Source organism: Homo sapiens, chromosome 7 (assembly GCF_000001405.40).
Source record: "Homo sapiens chromosome 7, GRCh38.p14 Primary Assembly".
Taxonomy (NCBI): domain Eukaryota; kingdom Metazoa; phylum Chordata; class Mammalia; order Primates; family Hominidae; genus Homo; species Homo sapiens.
In genome coordinates this window covers 34849488-34873044 of record NC_000007.14, presented here as the reverse complement: position 1 = coordinate 34873044, position 23557 = coordinate 34849488, and the positions used below count along the sequence as shown (strand labels likewise).

General features: G+C 41.4%; 1 protein-coding gene across 5 annotated transcripts in view; it reads right to left on the bottom strand.

Annotated features, from left to right (window-relative positions):
- The window catches only part of NPSR1 (neuropeptide S receptor 1), a 220115-nt gene that overhangs the window by 5288 nt on the left and 191270 nt on the right, over positions 1 to 23557 (bottom strand). For 3 of the 5 annotated variants that reach the window (NM_001300935.2, NM_207172.2, NM_001300934.2), the window contains one exon: positions 23067 to 23480. The exons of the other annotated variants lie outside the window; for them this stretch is intronic. In NM_001300935.2, coding sequence (NP_001287864.1) covers positions 23433 to 23480 — 48 coding nt within the window. In that variant the 3' untranslated portion in view covers positions 23067 to 23432. Of the gene's footprint in view, positions 1 to 23066; positions 23481 to 23557 lie in introns of those variants that run through there. 5 annotated transcript variants of the gene reach the window in all.

The window sequence follows — 23557 nt, the reverse complement described above, 5'->3', positions numbered from 1 at the left end:
TGATGGCCTAGGGTATCTGGCAGTAGAAATTTCTAAGCAGCAAAGTGTTCAAGAAGTGGCCTAGTTGCTTCAAACAGCCAGTGTTTATATGTGCAAGCAAAGAAATGACCTGAAACTGGAACTTATATTTAAAAGGGAAGCACAGCATAAAAATTTGGAAAATTTTCATGCTAGCTGATATGGTTAGGCTGTGTCCTCACCCAAATCTCATCTTGAATTCCCATGTGTTGTGGGAGAGACCTAGTGTGAGATAATTGAATCATGGGGGGAAGTATTTCCTGTGCTGTTCTTGTGATAGTGAATAAGTCTCATGAGACCTGATCGTTTTATAAAGAGGAGTTCTCTCTCTCTTTGCCTGCTACCATCCATGTAAGACATAATTTGCTTCTCCTTGCCTTCCACCATGATTGTGAGGCCTCCCCAGCCATGTGGAACTGTAAGTCCATTAAACCCTTTTTCCTGAATAGATCACCCAGTCTTGGGTATGTCTCTATCAGCAGCATGAAAATGGACTAATAAACAGGCCATGTAGCAGGAAAGAAAATCATTTTCAGGAGAGAAGTTCAAGCACGCTGTGGAGCAACCACTTGCTAGGCAAATTAGCCTGACCTAAGGGGAGCCAATTGTTAATACCTGAGAGAATGGGAAAAAGGCCTTGAAGGCACTTTAGAAGTCTTGGGGTGGTCCCTTCCATCATAGGTCCAAAGGCCTAGGAGAAAAGTGGCTTAGGGGGCCAGGCCTACGGCCTTGCTTCCCTGTGCTGCCACACTGCTCCCTGCATCCTGGCCACTCTGGCTTCAGGCATGACTCAAAGGGGCCAAGGTACAGCTTGGGCTGCAGCTCTAGAGGGTGCAAGCCATGCCTTGGCAGTTGTCACGTGATGTTAAGTCTTCAGATGCTCAGAATGTAAGCATGAATGAGGCTTCCACCTAGATTTCAGATGATTATGGAAGAGCTTGGTGCCCAGGCAGAAGCCTGTTGCAGGGTGGAGCCCCAACAGAGAAACTCTACTAGGGCAATGGCAGGGGGAAATGTGGGATTGGAGCCTCTACACAGAGTCCCCACTGGGACACTGCCTAGTGGAGCTATGGGAAGGGGGCCACTGCCTTCCAGATGCCAACATGGTAGATTGGCAGCTTGCAAACTCTGCCTGGAAAAGCCACAAGTACTCCACTCCAACTCTTGAGAACAGCCATGTGTACTGCACCCTGCAAAGCCACAGGGGTGGGTCTGCCCAAGGCCTTGGGAGCCCACCCATCATACCAGGGTGCGGGACATGAAGTCTAAGGGGATTATTTTGGAGCTTTAAAACGTGATGACTGTCCTTCTTGGTTTTAGACTTGTGTGGTGCCTACTGCCCCTTTCTTTTGGTGAATTTCTTTCTTTTGGAATGGGAATGTTTACCCAATGCTTGTGCCACCATTGTATCTTGGAAGCAAATAACTTGTCTTTGATTTTACAGGCTGATGGTGGAAGGAGAATGAGTCTCTGATGACTTTGGACTTGATGCTGGAAAGACTTAAGACTTTGGGGGACTACTGGAAAGGTATGATTGTATTTTGTAATGTGAGAAGGACATGATATTTGGGGGCCAGAGGTGAAATGATATGGCTTAGATGTCTGTCCCCTCCAAATCTCATGTTGAAATGTAATCCCCAATGTTGGAGATGGGGCCTAGTGGGAGATGTTTGTGTCGTGGGGGTGGATCCCTCCTGACTGTCTTAGCCCCATCCCCTAATGATGAGTGAGTTCTTGCTCTGGTAGTTCACATGACATCTGGTTGTTTAAGAGAGTGTGGTGCCTCCTCCCTCTCTCTCTTGCCATGTGACATACTGGTTCCCTGTCACCTTCTGCCATTATTGTAAGATTAGTGAGGCCCTCAGCAGAAGCAGATGACAGCATCATGCTTCCTGTAAAGCCTGCAGAACCATGAACCAATTAAATCTGTTTTATCTGTAAGTTACCCAGACCCAGATACTTGTTTATATCAATGCAAGAATGGCCTAATATAATCTCACTTGCCACCTCCACTACTAAGCCATTCACAACTTCTGCTTTCAGATATCCATCTATCTGTTCATCTACCCTTCCTTTCATCCATCCATCCATCTATCCATCCATCCATCTATCCATCCATCCATTCATCCATCCATCCATCCATCCATCCATCCATCCATGTTACCCACTTCTTCCTGATTAAGCTGTCAAATTAGGCCACCCTGTTTTTTCATGTCTAGATGAGACGAATTTAAAGCCCTAGCCCAAGGATTCTGGAGTATCCAGAGCCTCACAAGATTTTCATAAATTCCCAGGGGGCTTATTAATTGTGGTCACTTCTGGCTCCAGCTTCCTTATTCTGAGCAAATTCAGTCTAGGGATCCCCATGCTTGTGGCTCATATCTTCCCTGTTTGGCACCCCATTAACTCAGTTATAGAACTCAGCCATTTTTCTTAACATTCACCAGTCCAACCATTTACATAAGGCATTCACATTGTGAATATCTTGTAGGTATGGAATAATTTTAGCTCAGAAAAGGAAATCTCAATGTTACATATTACTATACCTAAATATCCCATGGTCATTTCCACAATTTGGGCTCATTCAACCTCATACTTGATTCCTTTCCTAAAATGAAGTCTGATGACAGCTGTTAAAATAAGATACATATTTTTTCCTGGCTCCAAATGTATTCAACAGGAATTTATTTTAGAGTGGTCCAGGAACTGGGCCAGGCACTGTACCAGGGGCTGGGGATATTGATGAGTCATGCCTGACTCATCCCTGGCTCCAAGAAATTTACAGTACAGTGGGGTGACAGTCACATGACTAGGTAACTGCTGAAGGTGTTCTGGGTGTGCGCATGGTACAGAGGCAGCTCAGAGGGAGGAGGAGTCTGCTCGCCCTCTTGAGTCCAAAACTGCTTTGATATTTGAACTAAGTCTTGAAGGTAGGTATTCATCAGGCAGATGACAAGAAGAAGAGATTTCTAGGCACAGAGAGCAGCCTGGACTAAGGTACAAAAGTATGCTGCTAAATGTTCACGTACCTGTTCTTGAAAAAGAAAAAGCCTAGTGTCTGCTTATTTGTAGTGACTTCTGATTTCCACGGTGTAAATATTCCCACCCAGGTTGATTTCAAGCTACCAAAGCAATGTCACTGAATGCAGAGTAGGGAAGAGATGTGCACCCTTGGTCTCCATGAGCTGGTAAAAACCTGTGCCCACACCACTGAATGCAGAAGAGCTGAACACAGAGGGGTGCTAAATTTTGCCCACAGAATGTAACTTCCTAAAGTCAGGGACTTTTGGTCTTTGGTTTACTGTTCCCTACCACTCTTAACAGTAGTCTGGGATAGAGTTGGCACTTGATAAATATTTGTTAAATGAATGAATGAATGGATGGAGGCTGTTATAAGGCCTATAATGTGTGTAGACTTTCGCCCCAAGGGTATAGGAAGTCCGGGAACATTGCTAGAGGTAAGGAGGGCCCTGATGAGTTTGGAGATTTACACTGATTGTTGTGAAAGCAGTGGGGAAGTGGAGGAGTACAGTGAGGTGACACTGGTGACAGTCAGAAGACTACTGCAATAATCCTAGCAGTAGTTCATTATGTCTGATAGAAGAGGGTGTGTGGGAACGGAGAAAAGGCAGAGATTTTAAATAGGATCTGATGTCATCAAATTTGCATTTTAGATTAATCACTTTGCAGTACTGTGAATGACTGGGCCTTTATTTCCTCCCCTTGAATTGTTTTGTTGTTTCACTTGAATCGTTTCATTGTCTAATCCACGCTTCCCTGGTTTTTGCCTCCGCTTGGTTATGCAGGACACTTTCTCCCCATGGTTTCCAGAGGCTGTCATTGATGAAAAGTCCTGACTGCTACCATACTGTGGCAGCCCTGTCGTGGAGTAGACATTCGTTCTGCCAGTGTTGTGGGACTCATTTCCCCAGAACCTTGAACTTAAATGTGAAATAGAGTGGTGCATGCAACATCTTTCCTTTATCAATGATAGAAATGATAGAAACAGTAGGTGCAATGAAAGACAGCAAGGGGCAGGTCCTCAGGAGTGGTTGGTCTCCTCTCCTGCTGAAGTCCTGTCTTCTGCAAGCAGGCTTGTTGCAAGTAGCCAGTTTGTTGCCCCGGGCCACCCTGATTCAGGCCTTTGGAGATTTGAGGGTCAGCCGCACCTCTTTCTCCATCTGTGTTATATTTTGTCAGAGGGGGACAGAGTAGTCCTAATGCCTCACAGACTTCTAGTGACCCTGCCTGCCTGCCCCCAGGGTTTAAACGGGAGTCCATGGAAACCGACTCAGGGGGCAAACACGAGTGACCAAGACTACAATACTGTGAGAGCTGCCCCTCTTATTTTGAGGAGAAGGTTTGTCTTACTGGGCCAATCTCATGCACCCAGCTCCTTCTTCCCTTAGTGGGAGGTTTCTCTCTTCTGCCGAGAGCAAGTTCACCCTGACATGTCTGCTGGACAAGCGTAGACACTACTGTGCCTAGTGGTGCATCCTGCTGAGGGTCATGCTAGATGTTGAGTGCAGCTCTGTGTCCAGATCTCATTCCCTTTCCTTGACTTTGGGGCTTACTTTTTGCAGGTTGACCCTCAATCTTTCTTGGTCAGGAATGCTGTAATTCCCAACTTTGATTTTCTCCTTGTTTGGGTTAGAGTTACTTAGGTCAGGCTAAGGGAGAGACTAATAGGCCAGGCGGGAGTAACAGAGTGTTGTGTGGTGCAGAGTGGGGCTGCTGCCTGGTCCCTCCCTCCCCAGGGCTGGCTTTCTAGTGAAGGGGGAGCAGAGGTTTTAGACCCTTCCTAACTCTCACTTTTGGCTATCGCTGAAAGGGTCTACATCCCCACATTCCCTGGGCTTTGAAACCAGCTGACTTCTTGCTCTTTAATAAAGAAAATTCACCAGAGGTTTATTTAATAACAGTCCACTCTCCCACTGTGCCTGCAGATTATTTGGCGATTTGGCTAGTTGAACTGTCAATCTTAGATTCTTCTCATTTGATTTCCTCCCTAATGTCATTGTTTTTGGGGAGACTCAGATACTTCAATATAGTACAGCTTTCCATGTTATAAATTTTAAAGACTGAAAGTTTTTAATAATACTGGCTGGACTTTCTCCATTTAGGGCAGGCATACCTTATTACTTTATTTATTCTACAGATTTTGGAGTTCCTCCTTTTCCATAGGTGAGCTTGGAACTGAGTGCCAAACTATTTTAGACTTATCCTGAAAGGCTGGGAGTGCAATGCCACAGACACCACTGAGCAGGGGAGCCACTTGCTTTATAATTTCTTAAGAGAGATTGCTTCTTAAGGAAGCAATAGTTCTATTTGTCTCCCCAGTGACCCATTACTTATTTCCAGAGCAAAAATCAATCATCCCTGTTGCTCCTGGGGTGATATCGGAAATCTTCAGGAAGAAAGATGACACTACTTCACAGCTATGACAGTTGTGAGTCACGGGGACTTGGATGTGTTTCCAGTGGGCCCTCTGATGTTACTGGCCAGTGGGCATTGCCCCAGGCCTGCCTTCCTTGGGCTGAGGAGCTGGCCTGGCCAATTGCCTGTTCCCTTCAGCTGCTGGCTTCTGGGCTCCAAATAGCCTCAAGCCTTTACTGAAGATAGAAACAGGAGGCGCAATGAGAGGCAGCAAGTGAGAGGATTTGTGAGGCATCAGCTGGGATATCCTATCTCACATGGGACTCCACATCTACCACGCTTTCCACCTGCCACTTTGCCATCTTCTCCAGGGCTTGGCTTGGGAATAAGCCTTCTCACCATCCCTCCTCCCATCTGCTCTGTTTTGGAGGTTGAGTCCACAAAGCCTTTTGGCTCTTAAACTCTGTCAGGACAATCACTCCCTTTCTTAGAGACATTCATTGGCTTTGATGATGAGGGTTCTGGGTTCCTATGTTACCGCAGCCCATGTTTATGGGTACTTGTGCTCAGAGCCTCTTTCACCTTTGCTTGGAAGGGTCTTATTCAGGCCTCAATGTCCCACAGTGGAAGGGCTCAGTCTTGCTCCTGGGTGGAAAGATGACACTGAGGCCTGGCTTTAGTTCTCCCATCCCCAGAAGAAGAGAAGTCAAAATCTTTTATCTTTTATTATTATTATTTTTAACCAGCACCATGATTTCCTTGAAGACCTCCCATGTGGTCTAAAGAATTTTTCAATTTGGCATGGGTTTTGCTGCAGGAAACTTTTTTTTCTAACTGTAACCTCCAAATCTCATAGTAACCTAAAGAATATCCCAATAATTCACCTAGCTTACTCTCCTTTTCCCTAGAGTGCAAATCTTGCAAAACTATCTAGTGCTTATTCATACCCTTTTCCCAAAGTTTTTACCTCAAGGCATCTGCTATTTTAGGTAGGAAGAGGAGAAGCCCATATGATCATGGTTTTCTAGATCACTTATCACAGTCTAATTATGCAATTGTGCAACTGAGTTGTCTCAATCAGGCAAGACATAGTGACCTTGACCACCCAAGTCAGGTCAAGGAAAAAGGGGCTTATTATAAACATAGACATGGAAAGAAAGCACTGAACAACGGACAGGTTCTGAGATATCTCTGTGAATAGTTTCCTCCAGGCTGTGCGCTCTGCCTCCTGTCCCTCCGCTATCCTCTCATCATTTGCATGTCTGTCTACAACTGTGCCCTTGTCCTTTCTCCATGAGCTGACTTCCTCTGTTTACTCACGGGTCCTGCTGTTTCATGGTTTTGAGATGGTTCATTGTGACTTATCTCATTTGAATTCTACATCATGAACTTTGGGTTTCAATTCCCGTTAACTGGCTTATCTCTCAGCCATAGTGTGCTGACCAATCCATCGGCATCCACCTCTGCCTCATCTGTTTTGGTTGGGAGGTGGAGGCCGTGTGGGACAAAACGTAGGTCCAAGTATCCAGGGCTATGCAGGGTATTGTCCCTCAGTAGGGACTACAAGCATGGCAAGCACATTGAAGTGGATTCATCCCAGCATTAGTTTTGTTATGATGAAGATTGGAGCCTTTCTCTCTCCTTTTCAAATAAAGGCAGGGAAGGAAGGTGGGTCTGTAAAGCAGGTGGACTCTGGGCATTGCTGTGGGTGCAAACTTCCCTTAGGAAGAGCCTGGTGATTTGTGAGGAAATGACCTCATTGTTAAAAAGAAGAATGCATCCAGGATCCTTATTATGTCTGCTGAGAATGACCCTTCATGGACTCTGGAATCTGGAGCAGGTGGGGAGAGAGGTCAAGAAGGGCTGTTTCTCCTTTAACTCTCACCCAAGCTTGCCCAAAGGGGACCATGTGACTGGCATTCATGGGCTAGTCAGAAGAGAGAAATGTAGTGCCCCTCTGTCTTATACCTGCTAAGGATGCTAAGGGGGGTGTGTCTTGAGAAACAGTATATAGAATCTGATGGGGAACAAAGGGAAAGATTTCTAGAGATCAAGAAAAGAGCTGCACAAAAAGAAAACACATTTTCAGTGGGGAGCTGTTTCCTTCCATGTGGCGCTGTGATTATTTTAGCCTCTGGAAAGAAGCTCCCTCACTCCTACCAGGGAAGAAAGAGGGGCTTAAGTCGCTTGGATTGAATGTGGAAAGATTCTACTGAGCATGCTCAGCTCAGCCTCGCCCTCTTTTTCATGGGGGGAGCTGTCCATAGGGTCAGAAGTTTCTTCCGCGTCTCTGTCTCACCTGAGCAGTTCACTTCCTGCCACAGGAAAACCTGTCCCGCATCAGCCCTTCCAGAGATTTTGTGGGTGTATCAGGCAGGATAGGCTAACCAGTGAAACAAACAACTTCCAAACATTCCGTAGCTGAGCAAAAATAAATGTTTGTTTCTCACTTATATCACCGTTCAATGAGGATTGGTGGTAAAGAAACAGGCTCTATTCCATGCAGTAATGCTGAGACCTAGTGTTCTTCCATCTGGTGGCTTTGCCCTCTTCTAAGCCCTGAGAGTCCTCTTCATTCAGCTTGCAAATGAGGGGAGGGTGTGAAAGCATGAAACACACTTGAGAAATTTTTATGGACCATATTAGGAGGGTGCGCAGAATTTTTTTCCACGTTCCATTGGCCAAAATTCAATGACATGAACAGAGTTAACCATAAGGGAGGCTGAGAAAGATATAGTGTAGTTGTGCCTGGAAGAGGGGACAAACACAGGCATGGGTGAACAGTAGCTGTTTATGCCACAGTGGGGAAGACCAGTTCCAGAGTTCATTGTTAGCAGGCTTTCTTGCCTGTAGGCACAAGTCACATTTGTTAGTAATAAGGGTGTTGTTTTAGTCTCTTCTCTGTTCTCTTTGTTTTATTTTATAATCTGTTCAAGATGCTCATGAGGAAAAAGGAAGTTATATTTGGACATCTCAACTCCAACATTTTGTGCATGGCCTAGGAACATTGAGAAATATAACAAAGCAGTTGGATAAGAAATTGGGATATATTTTGGACATTAATTTTCTTTGAACTTTTAATTACAAGGTGAAGAGAATATGATTTTGGACTTCAACTCCTTTGGGGTTTAATATCTTTGTACATTAATCATTGAACTTAATCATTTAATTTTAATTTCAGAAAATTCATGATGAGAAGGAGTTTATATTCAAATTTGGAACATCTTGTAATTGGTATTTTATTGCTGGAGTGTCTTTTTTTTTTCTTTTTTTTTTATTATTATACTTTAAGTTCTGGGATACATGTGCAGAACGTGCAGGTTTGTTACATAGGTATACACGTGCCATGCTGGTTTGCTACACCCATCAACCCGTCATCTACATTAGGTGTTTCTCCTAATGCTATCCCTCCCCTAGCCCTCCACCCCACAACAGGCTCCAGTGTGTGATGTTCCCTTCCTTGTGTCCATGTGTTCTCATTGTTCAACTGACACTTAGGAGTGAGGACATGCAGTGTTTGGTTTTCTGTTCCTGTGTTAGTTTGCTGAGAATGATGGTTTCCAGCTTCATCTATGTCCCTGCAAAGGACATGAACTCATCCTTTTTTATGGCTGCATAGTATTCTATGGTGTATATGTGCCACATTTTCTTTATCCAGTCTATTGATGGACATTTGGGTTGGTTCCAAGTCTTTGCTATTGTGAACAGTGCTGCAATAAACAAATGTGTGCATGTGTTTTTATAGTAGAATGATTTATAATCCTTTGGGTATATACCTAGTAATGGGATTGCTGGGTCAAATGGTATTACCGGTTCTAGATCCTTGAGGAATCACCACACTGTCTTCCACAATGGTTGAACTAATTTACACTCCCACCAAAGTGTAAAAGCGTTCCTATTTCTCTACATCCTCTCCAGCATCTGTTGTTTCCTGGCTTTTTAAGGATTGCCACTCTAACTGGCATGAGATGGTATCTCATTTTGGTTTTGATTTGCATTTCTCTAATGACCAATTGATGATGAACTTTTTTCATACGTTTGTTAGCTGCATAAATGTCTGTTTTTGAGAAGTGTCTGTTCATATCCTTTGCCCACTTTTTGATGGGGTTGTTTTTTCTTGTAAGTTTGTTTAAGTTCTTTGTAGATTCTGGATATTAGCCCTTTGTCAGATGGATAGATTGCAAAAATTTTCTCCCATTCTGTAGGTTGCCTGTTCACTCTGATGTTAGTTTCTTTTGCTGTGCAGAAGCTCTTTAGTTTAATTAGATCCCATTTACCAATTTTGGCTTTTGTTGCCTTTGCTTTTGGTGTTTTAGTCATAAAGTCTTTGCCCATACCTATGTCCTAATGGTATTGCCTAGGTTTTCTTCTAGGGTTTTTATAGTTTTAGGTCTTACATTTAAGGCTTTAATCGATCTTGAGTTAATTTTTGTATAAGGCATAAGGAACGGGTCCACTTTCAGTTTTCTGCATATGGCTAGCCTATTTCCCCAACACAATTTATTAAATAGGGAATCTTTTCCCATTGCTTGTTTCTGTCAGGTTTGTCAAAGATCAGATGGTTGCAGATGTGTGGCATTATTTCTGAGGCCTCTGTTCTGTTCCATAGGTCTACATATCTGTTTTGGTACCAGTATCATGCTGTTTTGGTTACTGTAGCCTTGTAGTATAGTTTGAAGTCAGGTAGCTCGATGCCTCCTTGCTGTAGTATCTTAATGTCGTCATTGAATTTCACTGTAGAACATATGATGGTCTATATTTACAGTGACCATATAATTTATCACCCAAACTAGATAGTTTTGAGAGAGAAAGGAGGCTATATTAATAATTTTGCTGGGATAACAGGCAAAAACCTGGACTGTCTTGGGTGCATTGGTGTGTATGGTCACCCCACTTATATTGGACAATGTGGAAGGGCATACTTAGGAAAGAGAAATGGAATAAGCAATGGATTTGCACTCTTGTAGAAATTTAATTAGTAAATTTTCTGACCCACATCAGAGCTCCCTGGGGATGAATTCTAACTTGTCCACTGATGTTCCCAAAAGTATCTACAGAGAAGCTGTATGAGTTAGGGTCCATCCAGGCAAAGAAAGAGAAACCACACTAGGTATTTTAGATAGAGAGACTCAATGCAGGGAACTGATCCCATGGCTATGGGAGGAATGAAAGAGCAGGAAAGAGAAGTAACATAGAGAGTCTAACTGCAGAAAGCTGCTAATATTCCTAAGACTGGAGGAACAAAAAATAAAGGGTAGAGTTATCCTAAGAGTTCAGAGGAGGCCCCAGGGCTGATTCTGGGACTCTGGGGGTGAGCTCCATGCAACTGAGGACAAATAGTGCCTGGATGCTGCTAGTAACTGAGGAGATGGCAAGGCTGGGGCTTGGAGGAAGAACTGCCCACTGCCACCCCCCAACTCCCACTCCCGCAATTACGCTCTTGCTTGCTTCCAGTCTCCTGCCTATCTCCTTTTGGCAGACAGGAAGTCAATGATTGAGGTAGTCTGAGAAATTTGGTTTGCAAAGTACTCACCCCACCATCAAGAGAAGTGAATAAAAGGGTGGCTTTGGAGCTGAGAAACAATAAGGAAACAAAGGGTGCAGGTGCAATGGTTGGCACTGGGGGAGTGCCTGTTGAAGAGGGAGCAGAATGCTCTTGCTGGAATTTCTGATCACTGAGGATCACCACAGGCTTAAACTGAGCATGGGCTTAGGAGTTGAATGCAAATGAGTTAAGAACAAACTGTTAGGGATATCAGGGGTGGGTTCTTCTTTTCCATTCCTGATGTCTTCTTTCACTGTGGAGATATCACATTCCCAATTCCTATTTGCCCTTCAGTCACTCTGATGAAAAGGAATGGCTGAACCATGCATCATGAATTTGCAGAGAATAAACCAAGCATGCTTAGCTCTGCCTTCCCCTTCTCTTGGGAGTAGGCTGCTTACAGGAAGCTGATGTTCTCCTCTGCCCCTCCATGTGTAAATATTACCTGTGCGTTCATTAAGCTAATATTTATTGGTATCTACTCTATTTTGGGTGTGGTTCTGTCCTTGGGAATACAACATTGAATAAAACAAAGATCTTTGTCTCATGGGAGATATCAACAATAAACATAGCCAATAAGCACATTGTACAGTATGTTAGAAGGCAATACATACTACTGCAAAAGAAAAATGCCAGATAGTCGGGCATCCAGATTGCTGGGCTGGCAGCTGCAGTATTAAACAATGTAGTCTAGGTGGGCCTCTCTTAGAAAGCACCATGTGGGCAAAGATCTGAGGAAAGCAAGGATGTTGGACAAGCAGATATCTGAGGGAAACATATTCTCAGAAGGGGAACTGCTCAAGTGCATGGGGAGGTGGCTCAGAGGCTCATTCTGACAAACACGAGTGCTGTTTGTTGCTCAAACTCAGAACCCTGGCAAATGCCATCAACTTTGAGGTGAATCTTGACTATTCTCTTCCTCAATTCAAGCAATCACCTGTCCCCAGTGTGAGTAGGGCATTGGGCTTTTGCCTCCGGCAGAGGCGGGTTTAATCACCAGGTGAACCTGCTGAGGTGTTTGTTGCCTGGAACGAAGCCTCAATCAGCATTGGCTATAAGTTAGCGCTTTCACCAGCTCTGCAAATGGATACAAACAGTCCCTTAGCTTGCCTGCCTCATCCAGCTCAGCTTTGTGTCCAAGAGAACAGTGTTACAGCAACGGCTGTCTATTGGCAAAGAAAGGAGCACACTGCTTTTCTTTGAAGAATCAGTCTTCCGTCTCCAAAGCATGGTCCAAAACTAGGATGGGAGTGGGGAGAGTGGGGAAGGAGGGGCCAAGTCTGAGAATCCTGGGGGTCTGTGAGGTCAAAACTCTTTTTACAACAGTACTAAAATGTTACTTGCCTTTTTCATTTTTGTTCTGTCATGTGTACAGTGGAATTTTCCAGAGGTTACATGGCATGTTATAATGCAACAGATTAAGTGCAGAGGCAGATTAAAATACTTTTTTTCTGACCACATATTTGTGAAGACTGATTTTCCTTATATATTTCCATCAAAACAGCATATTGCAACAGATTGAATGCAGAAGATATGAAAATCTGTCTTCTATTAAGTCAAACTTAAAAAGATTTGCATAAAGTTAAAACAATGTCACTTTTCTCACTAAATTTTGTTGAAAATAGTTATTTTCATACAAAAGATATTTATGTTAATATAGTGAGTTTATTATTGTTATTTGTAAATGATTTATAAACAAATATTTTTTCAGTTTTAATTTTTAACATGAATGGATTATAAATATCCATGTAAATATCAATGCATACAATACACATAAGCAATCATAAAGGACTTGTTTGGTCTTTTTGAGGCCAAAATATTTAAGAATGGCTGCTCTAGAGTGCTTTGATAAGGTATCACATCAGCATGTGGGTATAGCCCTCAAAACACCTCTGCAGAGGTGTCCTTCCTTGTTCCAAGACATCACATCAACACATGGCCATATTTCCCAACTTGGCTCTTGTTTGGGCATTTATATGCATGCATAACTACATTAGATTAAAGTCCATCTTTATGTGAAAAAAATGCATTTAAATCTCTAGTGGAAAGAGGAAGAATTAGAGATGTCTTGAGTTTTACTAGCAGATATCTAGATGGTTAGAAGAAGCAATAAAGTTGGACTCAGGAGATAACATTCGTGTTCCAGTTGGACCAGGGGAAACCACTTAGATGTAAGCAAAGGAGGCCTACACAGTTCCTGGCCATGAGGAACTTGAGCTCTGACCCCCGGGGATGCTCCTAAGTACCAGCCCATTGAAGAGTTGCACCAGAGCCACCTGGATGAATCGCCTGGGTGAGTTGCTATAAATACAGATTTCCATGTTCTACCCAGAACCCAGTAAGTCAGAATCTCTGGGGTTGGGGGTTCAGAAATCTGGATAAAAAATAAATTCCTTGAGTGATTCATGATGCAGCCAGGTTTGAGAACATTGGATTGGCCTCCTTAAAGTCTGTCAGATAGTTATGATGATGTTTGAGTTACACTCTTTGCCCCAGATAACTCTTCCAGTTGCCTACCATGGGCCCAAAGTCCCAAGCTTTGGTGATTAGTTCTTTGGAGTTAGGGCAGCAATATCTCCAGTGTTCCCTATATAGAGGATGAATCCTCTCCTGAGGAATGCTGTGTTCAGCTGTGCTCTGGGGCTAACATCACCGCATAGTGGGGTATTATGCACTTCAGATCTCCACTCTGGGGGACAAGGAAGGGCAGAAAGAATGAAAACAAGCAGGAGGAGACTCTTTGGATGAATACTGAAGTGGGAAACCAGGAGCAAAACTTAAGGATTCCAGGTCCCCTTGGCAGGCAAGAAGAGAACAGAAGATGGATATTGATTTCTTCTGAACTGACTCACAAGGCTCTGTGGAGGGGCCAAGTCATTTCTGCAGACTTTGAAAAATGTTGGCATCAATGTTCCTGCTATCACTGGATGCTAATGATAGATGATGGCTCTGAACACAGAGAAGGATCTTTCAGCTGTCTCTGCTGTTTTCTGTATGTAACCAAGACCCAGTTGATCACCTCCCTGTTTCTAGTCTGGCTCCCTTCTCTGCACTGCTTCCAAAATAAACTGAACACCCTTGAACCTGCCACCTAGAGCAAAAAAGAGACTCTGCCAGCCTCTCTCTGTACATCTCCTCCCTCTCCCCACAAAGATATTTCAATCTGGACTCTTATAAAAAGTGATTTCCTGCTTTGCTTTAGAGTTTTGTCACTGATATGGTTTGGATCTGTGTCCCCCCCCCAGATCTCATCCTGTAGCTCCCATAATTCCCACATGTTGTGGAAGGGACCCAGTGGGAGATGACTGAATCATGGGGACAGGTCTTTCCTGTGCTGTTCTTGTGATAGTGAATGGGTCTTACGAGATCTGATGGTTTTAAAAATGGGAGTTTCTTTGCATAAGCTTGCTCTTTGACTGCTGCCATCCATGTAAGATGTGACTTGCTCCTCCTTGCCTTCTGCCATGATTGTGAAACCTCCCCAGCAATGTGGAACTGTAAGTCCAATAAACCTCTTTCTTTTGTAAATTGTCCAGTCTCAGGTATGTCTTTATCAGCAGTGTGAAAAACGGACTAATACAATTACCTATGTGTGCATTGCTAAATATGATAATTTAATTTTGGTTAGTTTTGAATTTCATATAAATGAGATCATATGTTATCTTTAATGTCTCTGTCTTTGACCTTTATATTATGTTTTTAAAGTTTTTTTATGTTGCTGCAAGCATATGCAGTTTCTTCATTTTTTTGTTGCTGTAAAGTATTCCATTGTATGAAATACACCATAATTTATTTATCTATTCTACTGCTAATAAGCATTTGTTTTGCCTCCAATTTGAGGCTCTTATAATTAGTGCTATTACAAATATTTTTCATATCTATTATGGTGCACATAATTCACACTTCTGTAGGGTGTGTACTCAGTGTGGAATTTCAAGGTCACGGGAAACACAAATCCTTAGTTTTACTAGTTTAAGGCACATAATTTTCCAGAATAGTTGTACTAATTATTCTCCAGTTCACACAAGATAAGCATTTCTGATGCTGTACATCCTCAGCAACATTTGATATTGTCAAAGGTTTTAAGTTAGGCCAATATGCATACTCATATATCATTGTGATTTAATTTACTTTCCCTTGCTTTTTAATGAGATTAAACACCTTTTCATAGTTTTTTGTCCATTTGGATAACTTCTTTTCTGAAGTTAATTCTTGCCCATTTTTCTATGTCTTCTACTGTCTTTTAAAATCTTTTTCTTACTGATTTGCAGTAGTTTTTATATATTACAAATACTAGATCTTGGTCAGTTATATATTTTGCAAATGTCATTTTCCATTCTATAGCTTGTCTTTTCACATTTTTAATATATTTTGATGAACAGAAATTTCTACTTTTAAATAATTAAATGTATCAATATTTTCCTTCATGAGTACAGTGTTTTGTGTTTTGTCACATTATTTTTTCAGCGTCCTATTGTCTTGTGAATTTAGGTCTATAATCCACCTGGAACCAATTTGACATATAATCCAGTAGGTTTTCAGTAAATTTTCTCCCACATAAATGTCCAATTTTTTATATAATTGAAAAGAACACCCTTTCCTTACTGCTTTGCAATGTTACCACTGAAACAAATCGTTTACCTATATGTGGGCATCTTTCCCTGGACTCCTTTTCTATTCCATTTGCTAAGTTGTCTACTTTAGCGCCCATACCACAGCTTTCATTATTATTCTTTCATGATAAGTTTGATATGTGGTTAGTTAAGCTCTCCCATTTTTTTCCTTTTTAGTCAACAGTGTCGTGGCTATTTTTGGCCCTTTGCATTTCCATATAAATTTTAGAGACAACTTACCAAGTTCTACCAAATTCCTCTTGGCATTCTACTGAATCTTCAGAGATCAATTTGAAAATTGATTATCTTAGGATATTCAGTTTCTGAACAATAGTCATGATATATTTCTGCATTTCATTAGTTTTTAGAATATATCTCAATAGTATTATAATTTCTCCATAGAGATTTACATACCTTTTTATAAATTTACTCCTACGAATTTCATTTTTTAAGGCTATTGTAAATAACGAATGCAGGAGCTCATGGAACTTTACCCTAAAATATGGCTTCATGGCATTATAATATATTTTGAATTAAAAGGCCCTTAGAGATCAGCAGATGCTAGAAGAGATTTCCCCCCCCATCTACATAAAGACTGGACCAGTTTTCAGTTCTCTTACCAGGGAGAACAATTGTTTCTCCTCTCCCTCCTCCTGCCTCTCAATCATGAAGTTTCCTTATCTGCCTAATTCTAGACTTACCAAAGAAGAAAACAATGACTTGCGGTCCCTTCCCCGAGTTTTCATTAACTGAACCCATATCACAAGAAGGAAGACTAAAGTCTATCAACAAACCTGGACAGACTTTTGTCACAAACAAAAGTCTGCTCTGTGAGTCCAACAGACTCTGTCCTGGACCATTGTTTTCTTCAAGCACACCAAATTCCTAAAAATCATTTATTATTCCCCTAAAATCATCCACGCTTCCCCATCTCTCTTTCCCCTAAGAAGAAGGCTCTACAAGCATCTGTACCCATTGAAGTATTGGCCAATCACTCCGATTTTCCCCGTGTGCATAGGAGTAATAAATTTTATGCTTTTTCTCTTATTTTTCTGCCTTTTTATGACTTGATTTTTCAGTGAAGCCTCCAAGGGCAAAAAGGAAGCTTTCCCTTCATTGCTACAAAACTTTAAAAATTAAATTTTTTATTTATTGCTGCTATGTGGAAATAATATTGATTTTTGTATCCTGCAACCTTATTAAACCTTGTGATTAATTCTAATAATTTATCTGTATATTATTTTGGATATTCAGCTATATATTTATATCTATATTGTCAGTTTTTATTATTTATTATGAATCCATATACCTTTTATCTTATTTTTTTTTCTTGTTTTACTACATTGACTAGGATTTCTTACAATGTTGAACAGAAGTGTTGATGCTGGCATTCTTCACTCATTCTTTATTTCAAAAGGAACATCTTCAAAGCTTCACCATTAAGTATAGGTTTCCTGTAGCTTTCTTGCAGATAAACTTTAAGGTTTAAGAAATTGTCTTCTATCCCAAGTTTGTGAATATCTTATAATTGGAGCTCAAAAATTTTTATCAAACATTTTTTTCTGCATCTGTTGAGTTTATATATTGTTTTATCCTGTAATCTATTAATGTAACGAGTTGAGTGATTTTCTAATAGTAAGCCAACATTGCATTCCTGGAATGAAACCAGTTTTGTCACATATGTTAGCCTTGTTATATTTTGCTGGACTTGATTGGTAATTTTTTTTTGGAATTTTTGCATGTATTTCTGCGGCAAAATTGACTTGCAATTTTTTTCTTGTAATGCCTTTGTAGCATTTGATATTGAGGTTTTTTTAGCCTCATAAATAATCTGAAAAGTCACACTTTTTCTATTTTACTGAAGACTATAAAATTGGTGTTGCTTTGTCCTTAAATTTTAGTACAGCTCACCAATGAAGACATTCTCTTTCTTTAGCAGTTATGCTACTATTCTGATTTTGTTTCTTCTTGGGTCAATTATATGTTTTCCCATTCATCTATATTTTCAATTTGTTTTGACATAAGCTTGATCATAATATCCTTTTATTATCTTTTGATTGACTCTAGGATCTATAGTGATATCATTTAAAGAATACTGTTTATTTGTGCCTTCTCTCTTTTTCTTCCTTTGATCAGTCTCACCAGAGGTTTATTAATTTAATTTTTTTCAAGAACAGAATTTGATCTTTGTTGAGGCTTTTTATTATGTTTGTTTCTTATTTCATTAATTTTACTCCTATTCTTATTATTTTATTCTTTCTACTTCCCTTGAGTTTAATTTGGTAAATGTTTCTAACTTCATAAGATAGATAATTTGTTTATTGATTTTTAATCCTTCTCTTTTTTCTTTAAGTATTGTTTTATTTGTATCCTATACATTTAATACATAATACTTTCATTAACATTCAGTACAATTGTTTTCTAATTTTCATATGCTTTCTTCTTTGGCAATAAGTTGTTCGGAAGTGTATTTCCTAACTTCCAAACCTATTTGAATTTTCTAGTTATCCTCTTACTCTTGAGTTCCAGCATAATTATAACATGATCAGAAAAACTAGACTATATGAATTCAATCTCGTGGAAGTGTTGAAGCTTGTTTTATGGCCTAGCATGTGGTCAACTTTGGTAACTGCTTCATGTGTGCTTGAAAAAAATGTCTGTTCAGGGGTGGTAAGGTAAAGTGCTCTTCCTGTGTTATTCATGTTGCTCAAATTATCCAGATCATTCCTGATTTTTGTCTGCTTTAATGACTGGCATTAAGTGTGATAAAATTCCCCATTAGGGTTGTGAATTTTTCTATTTGTTTCATAGTTCTGACAACTTTTAAAAGTATATATTTTGAGGCCATGTTTTTAAATGCCTGGAAATTTAGAATTATTACTTCATCTTATTAAACTAAAATCTTTATCATTACGAAGTGTCCCTGTTTAACTCTACTAATACTTTTTGCCTTAAAAGGTATTTAGTCTTTATTAATATAGCCTTACCAGCTTTCTTTTAGCTACAGTTTCCATGGACTACCTTGATCCATTCTTTGATTTTCAAACTTTCTGTATCCTTGTGTTTTAGGCATGTCTTTTGTAAACAGCAGACAGTTATTTATTTTTTAAAAAATCAGTCTGATAGTCTTTGATTATTAACTGGGGCATTTAATCTCTTTGCACTTATAATTACTAGTAAGTTTGGATAAAAAAACCACCATCTTCCTATGTGTTTTCTGTTTATCCCAGCTGTTTTATGTCCCTGTTTCTCTCTTTTCTTGCTTTCTTTCAAATTGTTTGAGTGACTTATCACTCAGCTTTCCTTCTCTTTTACTCTGAAAGATGTATGTTTTTGCATTTCTACTATTTTAGTGATGACCCTGAAATTGTAACATGCATTCTTGGTGTATCAATGACTAATAATCCACATTTTGCATGCAAGATAATTCAAGGAACTTGAAACTAACTACATTTAATTGCCTCTCGATTTCTATGCTATTGTTGTGCGTAATAATGTTTTTTTTGTTTTTTGTTTTTTTTTTTTCCAGGCAGAGTTTCCTTCTTGTTGCCCAGGCCAGAGTGCAATGGTGCGATCTCGGCTCACTGCAACCTCCTCCTCCCAGGTTTAAGTGATTCTCCTGCCTCAGCCTCCCAAGTAGCTGAGATTACAGGCGGCCCGCCACCATACCCGGCTAATTTTTGTATTTTTAGTACAGACGGGTTTTCACCATATTGACTGGGATGGTCTCGAACTCCTGTTCGAACTCAGGTGATCCGCCCTCCTCGGCCTCCCAAAGTGCTGGGATTACAGGCGTGAGCCACCATGCCCGGCCGTGTAAAAATATTAATATTGAGTCACCTCCTTGGAACAGCTTTGGAGTCTCCGAGCAATCTGAAAACCATGAGACCAGCTGATATAAGACTCCATCCACTTTAACATTCTGTAAGCCTGGAATTGCACTTTTAAAATGTTAACTGAACCAGCCTGTTGCGGATAATGTATTCTTAAAATGCAATTGCAGAGAAATGAGGCATGGGTTTTTCATGTTTCCAAAAACACAGAGATTGGCACCTAAACAGTTACGGCCTTCTCCCTTCAATTAAATGCAATTGGAAAGCTTCAGGGGACACTAGTCGATCTGCATATAAGATGAGGTACATTCAAATGATGACGAGAAAATTGGAGTTGCCAGCAGGTCTGTAGCTCACCTAAGATAATTCTAGAAGAGCAGAATCACTTTATTTCCTGCTAAAGATATTTTTGTTTTCCTTTTTTCTCTCAGACTCAGGCTTGTGGCCTTTTCTGATTGACACTGTGAATGCAGTTGGAAGAGGCAAGGTCATTTCTGTATATGAGTATACAGAATTTTCCAAATGAAGCTAGGAAGTTTAAGCTGCGTGTTGGGCTGATTTAAAAGGGCCACTTTTTTCTCATGATTATCCACAAATGAAAGTCATTAAAAAGGTGTTATCATTTTCTGGGGGAAAAGGTGGGAGATGTTGCTTAGTGAAAGTAAACTTCAACTAAATTATGTTCCACATGCACCCTGCAAGTAGAGAAGTTTTTACCATTCATATTTAATTTAGTTCAGTAAAGTAGAGTCACTTATTTTCTATAGTATGGCTGAATATAGTAAGCACACCTACTCTGGCTCTCCTAAATTTTCTCCTGTCCCTGATGCCATGCAATAATGTAACCGTAGACTTTTTGACATCTTGGTGCAGGAAGTAAGCACCTTTATTTTAGGTATCGTCCTGCTGGCTTCTCTGATTCCACATGGGCATCAAAGGCTACAAACAGTAACGTCACAGCACTAAGCTTCTAATTTTCTCCAAGAGCTCAAACTGCATTTCTCAGTTGGGAAATGATATTTCTCTGCATTCATAGTGATAGATAGGGAAGTCACACCTCTAAAGGGCAAATGACTCAGCATTAAGTCACTGAGTCATTGGTCCCCTGGGGAAAGAATTCCAGAAGCTCTCAGTCTCTGGACACAATCTCAGAGATTCCTCCCTGTGTCTGGGAGGAACCACCAAGATCCTCTGCTCCAGCCTGATTTTGTCCCCATCTTGCAGATGAGACCATCAATGCCCAGAGGTGTGAAATGATTTGTTCAAGGTCACAAGACTATTAATTACCAGTTCTTCTTTCCTTCCTTCCTCCCTTCCTCCCTTCCTCTCTCTCTCTCTTTCTCTCTTTCTCTCTTTCCTTGAGACGGATTCTCGCTCTCTCGCCCAGGCCGCAGTGCAGTGACGTGATCTCGGCTCACTGCAAGCTCCGCCTCCCAGGTTCATGCCATTCTCTTGCCTCAGCCTCCTGAGTAGCTGGGACTACAGGCGCCAGCCACCATGCCTGGCTAATCTTTTTGTATTTTTAGTAGAGACAGGGTTTCACCGTGTGTTAGCCAGAATGGTCTCGATCTCCTGGCCTCACGATCCGCCCACCTCAGCCTCCCAAAGTGCTGGGATTACAGGTGTGAGCCACTGTGCCCGGCCAATTACCAGTATTTTCATAATGCTTAAATCATGTTTCTCCAAGCTCAGCAAATACATGGAAATGACAATTCCAGAATCCTTACCAATATAAAGCAAGTTTCATTTAAATGGTAGATTATCCTGCAGCAACCTGTACCATTATCTTATTGATCTCCAGTCTTCTCGGGAAATGAGAGAGACAGCATCACAACTAAAAAATCATGTTCACAGTTTCTACAGATCACAACGCCCCTCACTCCACTCTCTCCTTCACTTTGAGACTCTACTGATGGATGAGGTAGGCATGTAATGTATTTTGCAGACCAGACTTGACAAAGAATTAAAGCATCTGTCAAGAGAACCTGGTCCTCCTGTTTTGCCATGTAGGACATCTGCCAGATTTTGCTCTGTTAATTGGCTCCTATGCAGCCAGCTATTTTAGCAACAGTTCCGTGGGTCTTCTGTGGCACATCTTGATTTAAAGTGAAATGTTGAAAAGCATTTCTCAAATGCTCAAAGCTTCCAGGGTTGCTCAAGTTTAGCTGATTGGACAGAGAGGGAGGCAGCCTTCAAAACTGTTGTGTAGAAATAAAACTAGATTATTCAGGCTCCTCAAATTCAGAGAATAATTCTCCGAGAGATGGTGAGTGAGGAGTCTGATTTCCTCCTAAAGAGATACTTTCCCTAAGGTCAGATCGAATTGAAAAGAGTTTATGAAAAAAAAAAAAAAAGCCCACATGACCTTAAACACGCAGACTTTGAGTTGACACCATAATGAGGAATGGAGTGCTATTAAAATATACTGAACAATTTAATGACTCCACTAGCAGTATGCCAAAAAAAAAAAAAAAGATTTAAGCTCTGAATAATTCTGGGAAGGAGGATTTTGCCAAGGAGATTTTAATGTCAAGAATATACGTGAAGCTAAAATAAGGTGTTCACGTGCATACCGGAGCCGTGGGTGGGATGTATATATGATCAAATGAAATTATTTCACTTCCACTTGTGGAAAAATCTGATAGGAGAAATTGACTAGAAAACATTTAGTCATATTTCACTTGGATTATGCTCATAAGTACCAAACTCCAGATCTGTCAAAATAAGCCCCACCAGCACTTCCTGGCCGAGGTGCTAGACAAAGGCTGTGACAGGCAAAAACGATAAAGATCTTAGAGAAACATTAAGCCTGGAAAAGCCGCAGGAACCTAGCTCCTAACTAAAGAGAGTGTTCAGGGATTTAAAAACGGGAAGACTTGTCCTTGAGGTGTGAGGAATGGAGCCCAGAGTGGCCCAAGTGTTAAATACAGAGTGAGAGGTCTCAGAAAGCCTCAAGGACAGGCCGGGCGCGGTGGCTCATGCCTGTAATCCCAGCACTTTGGGAGGCCAAGGCAGGCAGATCACGAGGTCAGGAGATTGAGACCATCCTGGCTAACACGGTGAAACTCCGTCTCTACTAAAAATACAAAAAATTAGCCAGGCGTGGTGGCGGGCACCTGTGGTCGCAGCTACTCGGGAGGCTGAGGCAGGAGAATGGCATGAACCCGGGAGGTGGAGCTCGCAGTGAGCCGAGATCGTGCCACTGCACTCCAGCCTGGGCGACAGAGCGAGACTCTGTCAAAAAAAAAAAAAAAAAAAAAAGGCCTCAAGGACATGTGTGTTCTAGGGACCAGCTCTCAGAGGCTGGAAGTCAGGGGCCCATGGCTTTTTAACACAACTTGTTTTCTATCAGAACCAGTATCCCTTCATTTCACCTTGTTTTGGAGGGCCAACAGCATGCCCTTTCCACAAATCATTTGTTGATGGAATAGGAGATGCACTTGGCTGCTGCCAGCACACCCATCTGCAAACCGAGGCTATCTGCAGAAGAGGTGCAAAGCACCAATGCCTGGAAATGAATTTGTTGGCATTTCAAGGACAAACACTTTCTTGGCTACAAGCACTGAACCTCCAATCCAAAACTGGGGGAAAAATATGGGCTTAATTAAGTCTTTTATTTTCTTCTATTGTAATGAGAATATTCATGTATAACCCAGCTACCTTTGTCCCCTCTGCTTGCCTGTCTACTCACTGGCTCCAAGCCAGGACCCTGGACCACTAATGCCTGTGTTCACTGGGTTCAGGTGCTGGCCAGTGGGAAGGAGGGCTGGGAATGGTGGGGAAGGAAGGCGTTTCCTTCCTGGCTGGCATGAATAACTGGGGAGTTCGTGTTGGCCAATACTTAAGCAGTGCATGCAGTCATTAGAACATTTGTCTTGTGCATCTCCCAGGTAATGACGAGGGTGGGGTGAAGTTGGCTCGGGTTCCATGCACGTGCCCAAGCAGGTGACAAGGACCTGGGAGAGCTGATGGTGCTCAGCCTAGCACTGGCACTGCCCTAGGGTCTAGATGAATTCTGGCTTGGACAGAATCTGCATCTCATGCCTCTCAGTTCTCTCCCGGAACGTCATTCTGGAATCCTGTGATCTTTGCTCCCTGGAGAAAGTCAAAATAAAGCAGGGAGGGAAATAATTTGACCTAATGAAAAGGCAAGTAGACATGTTAAGAGACAA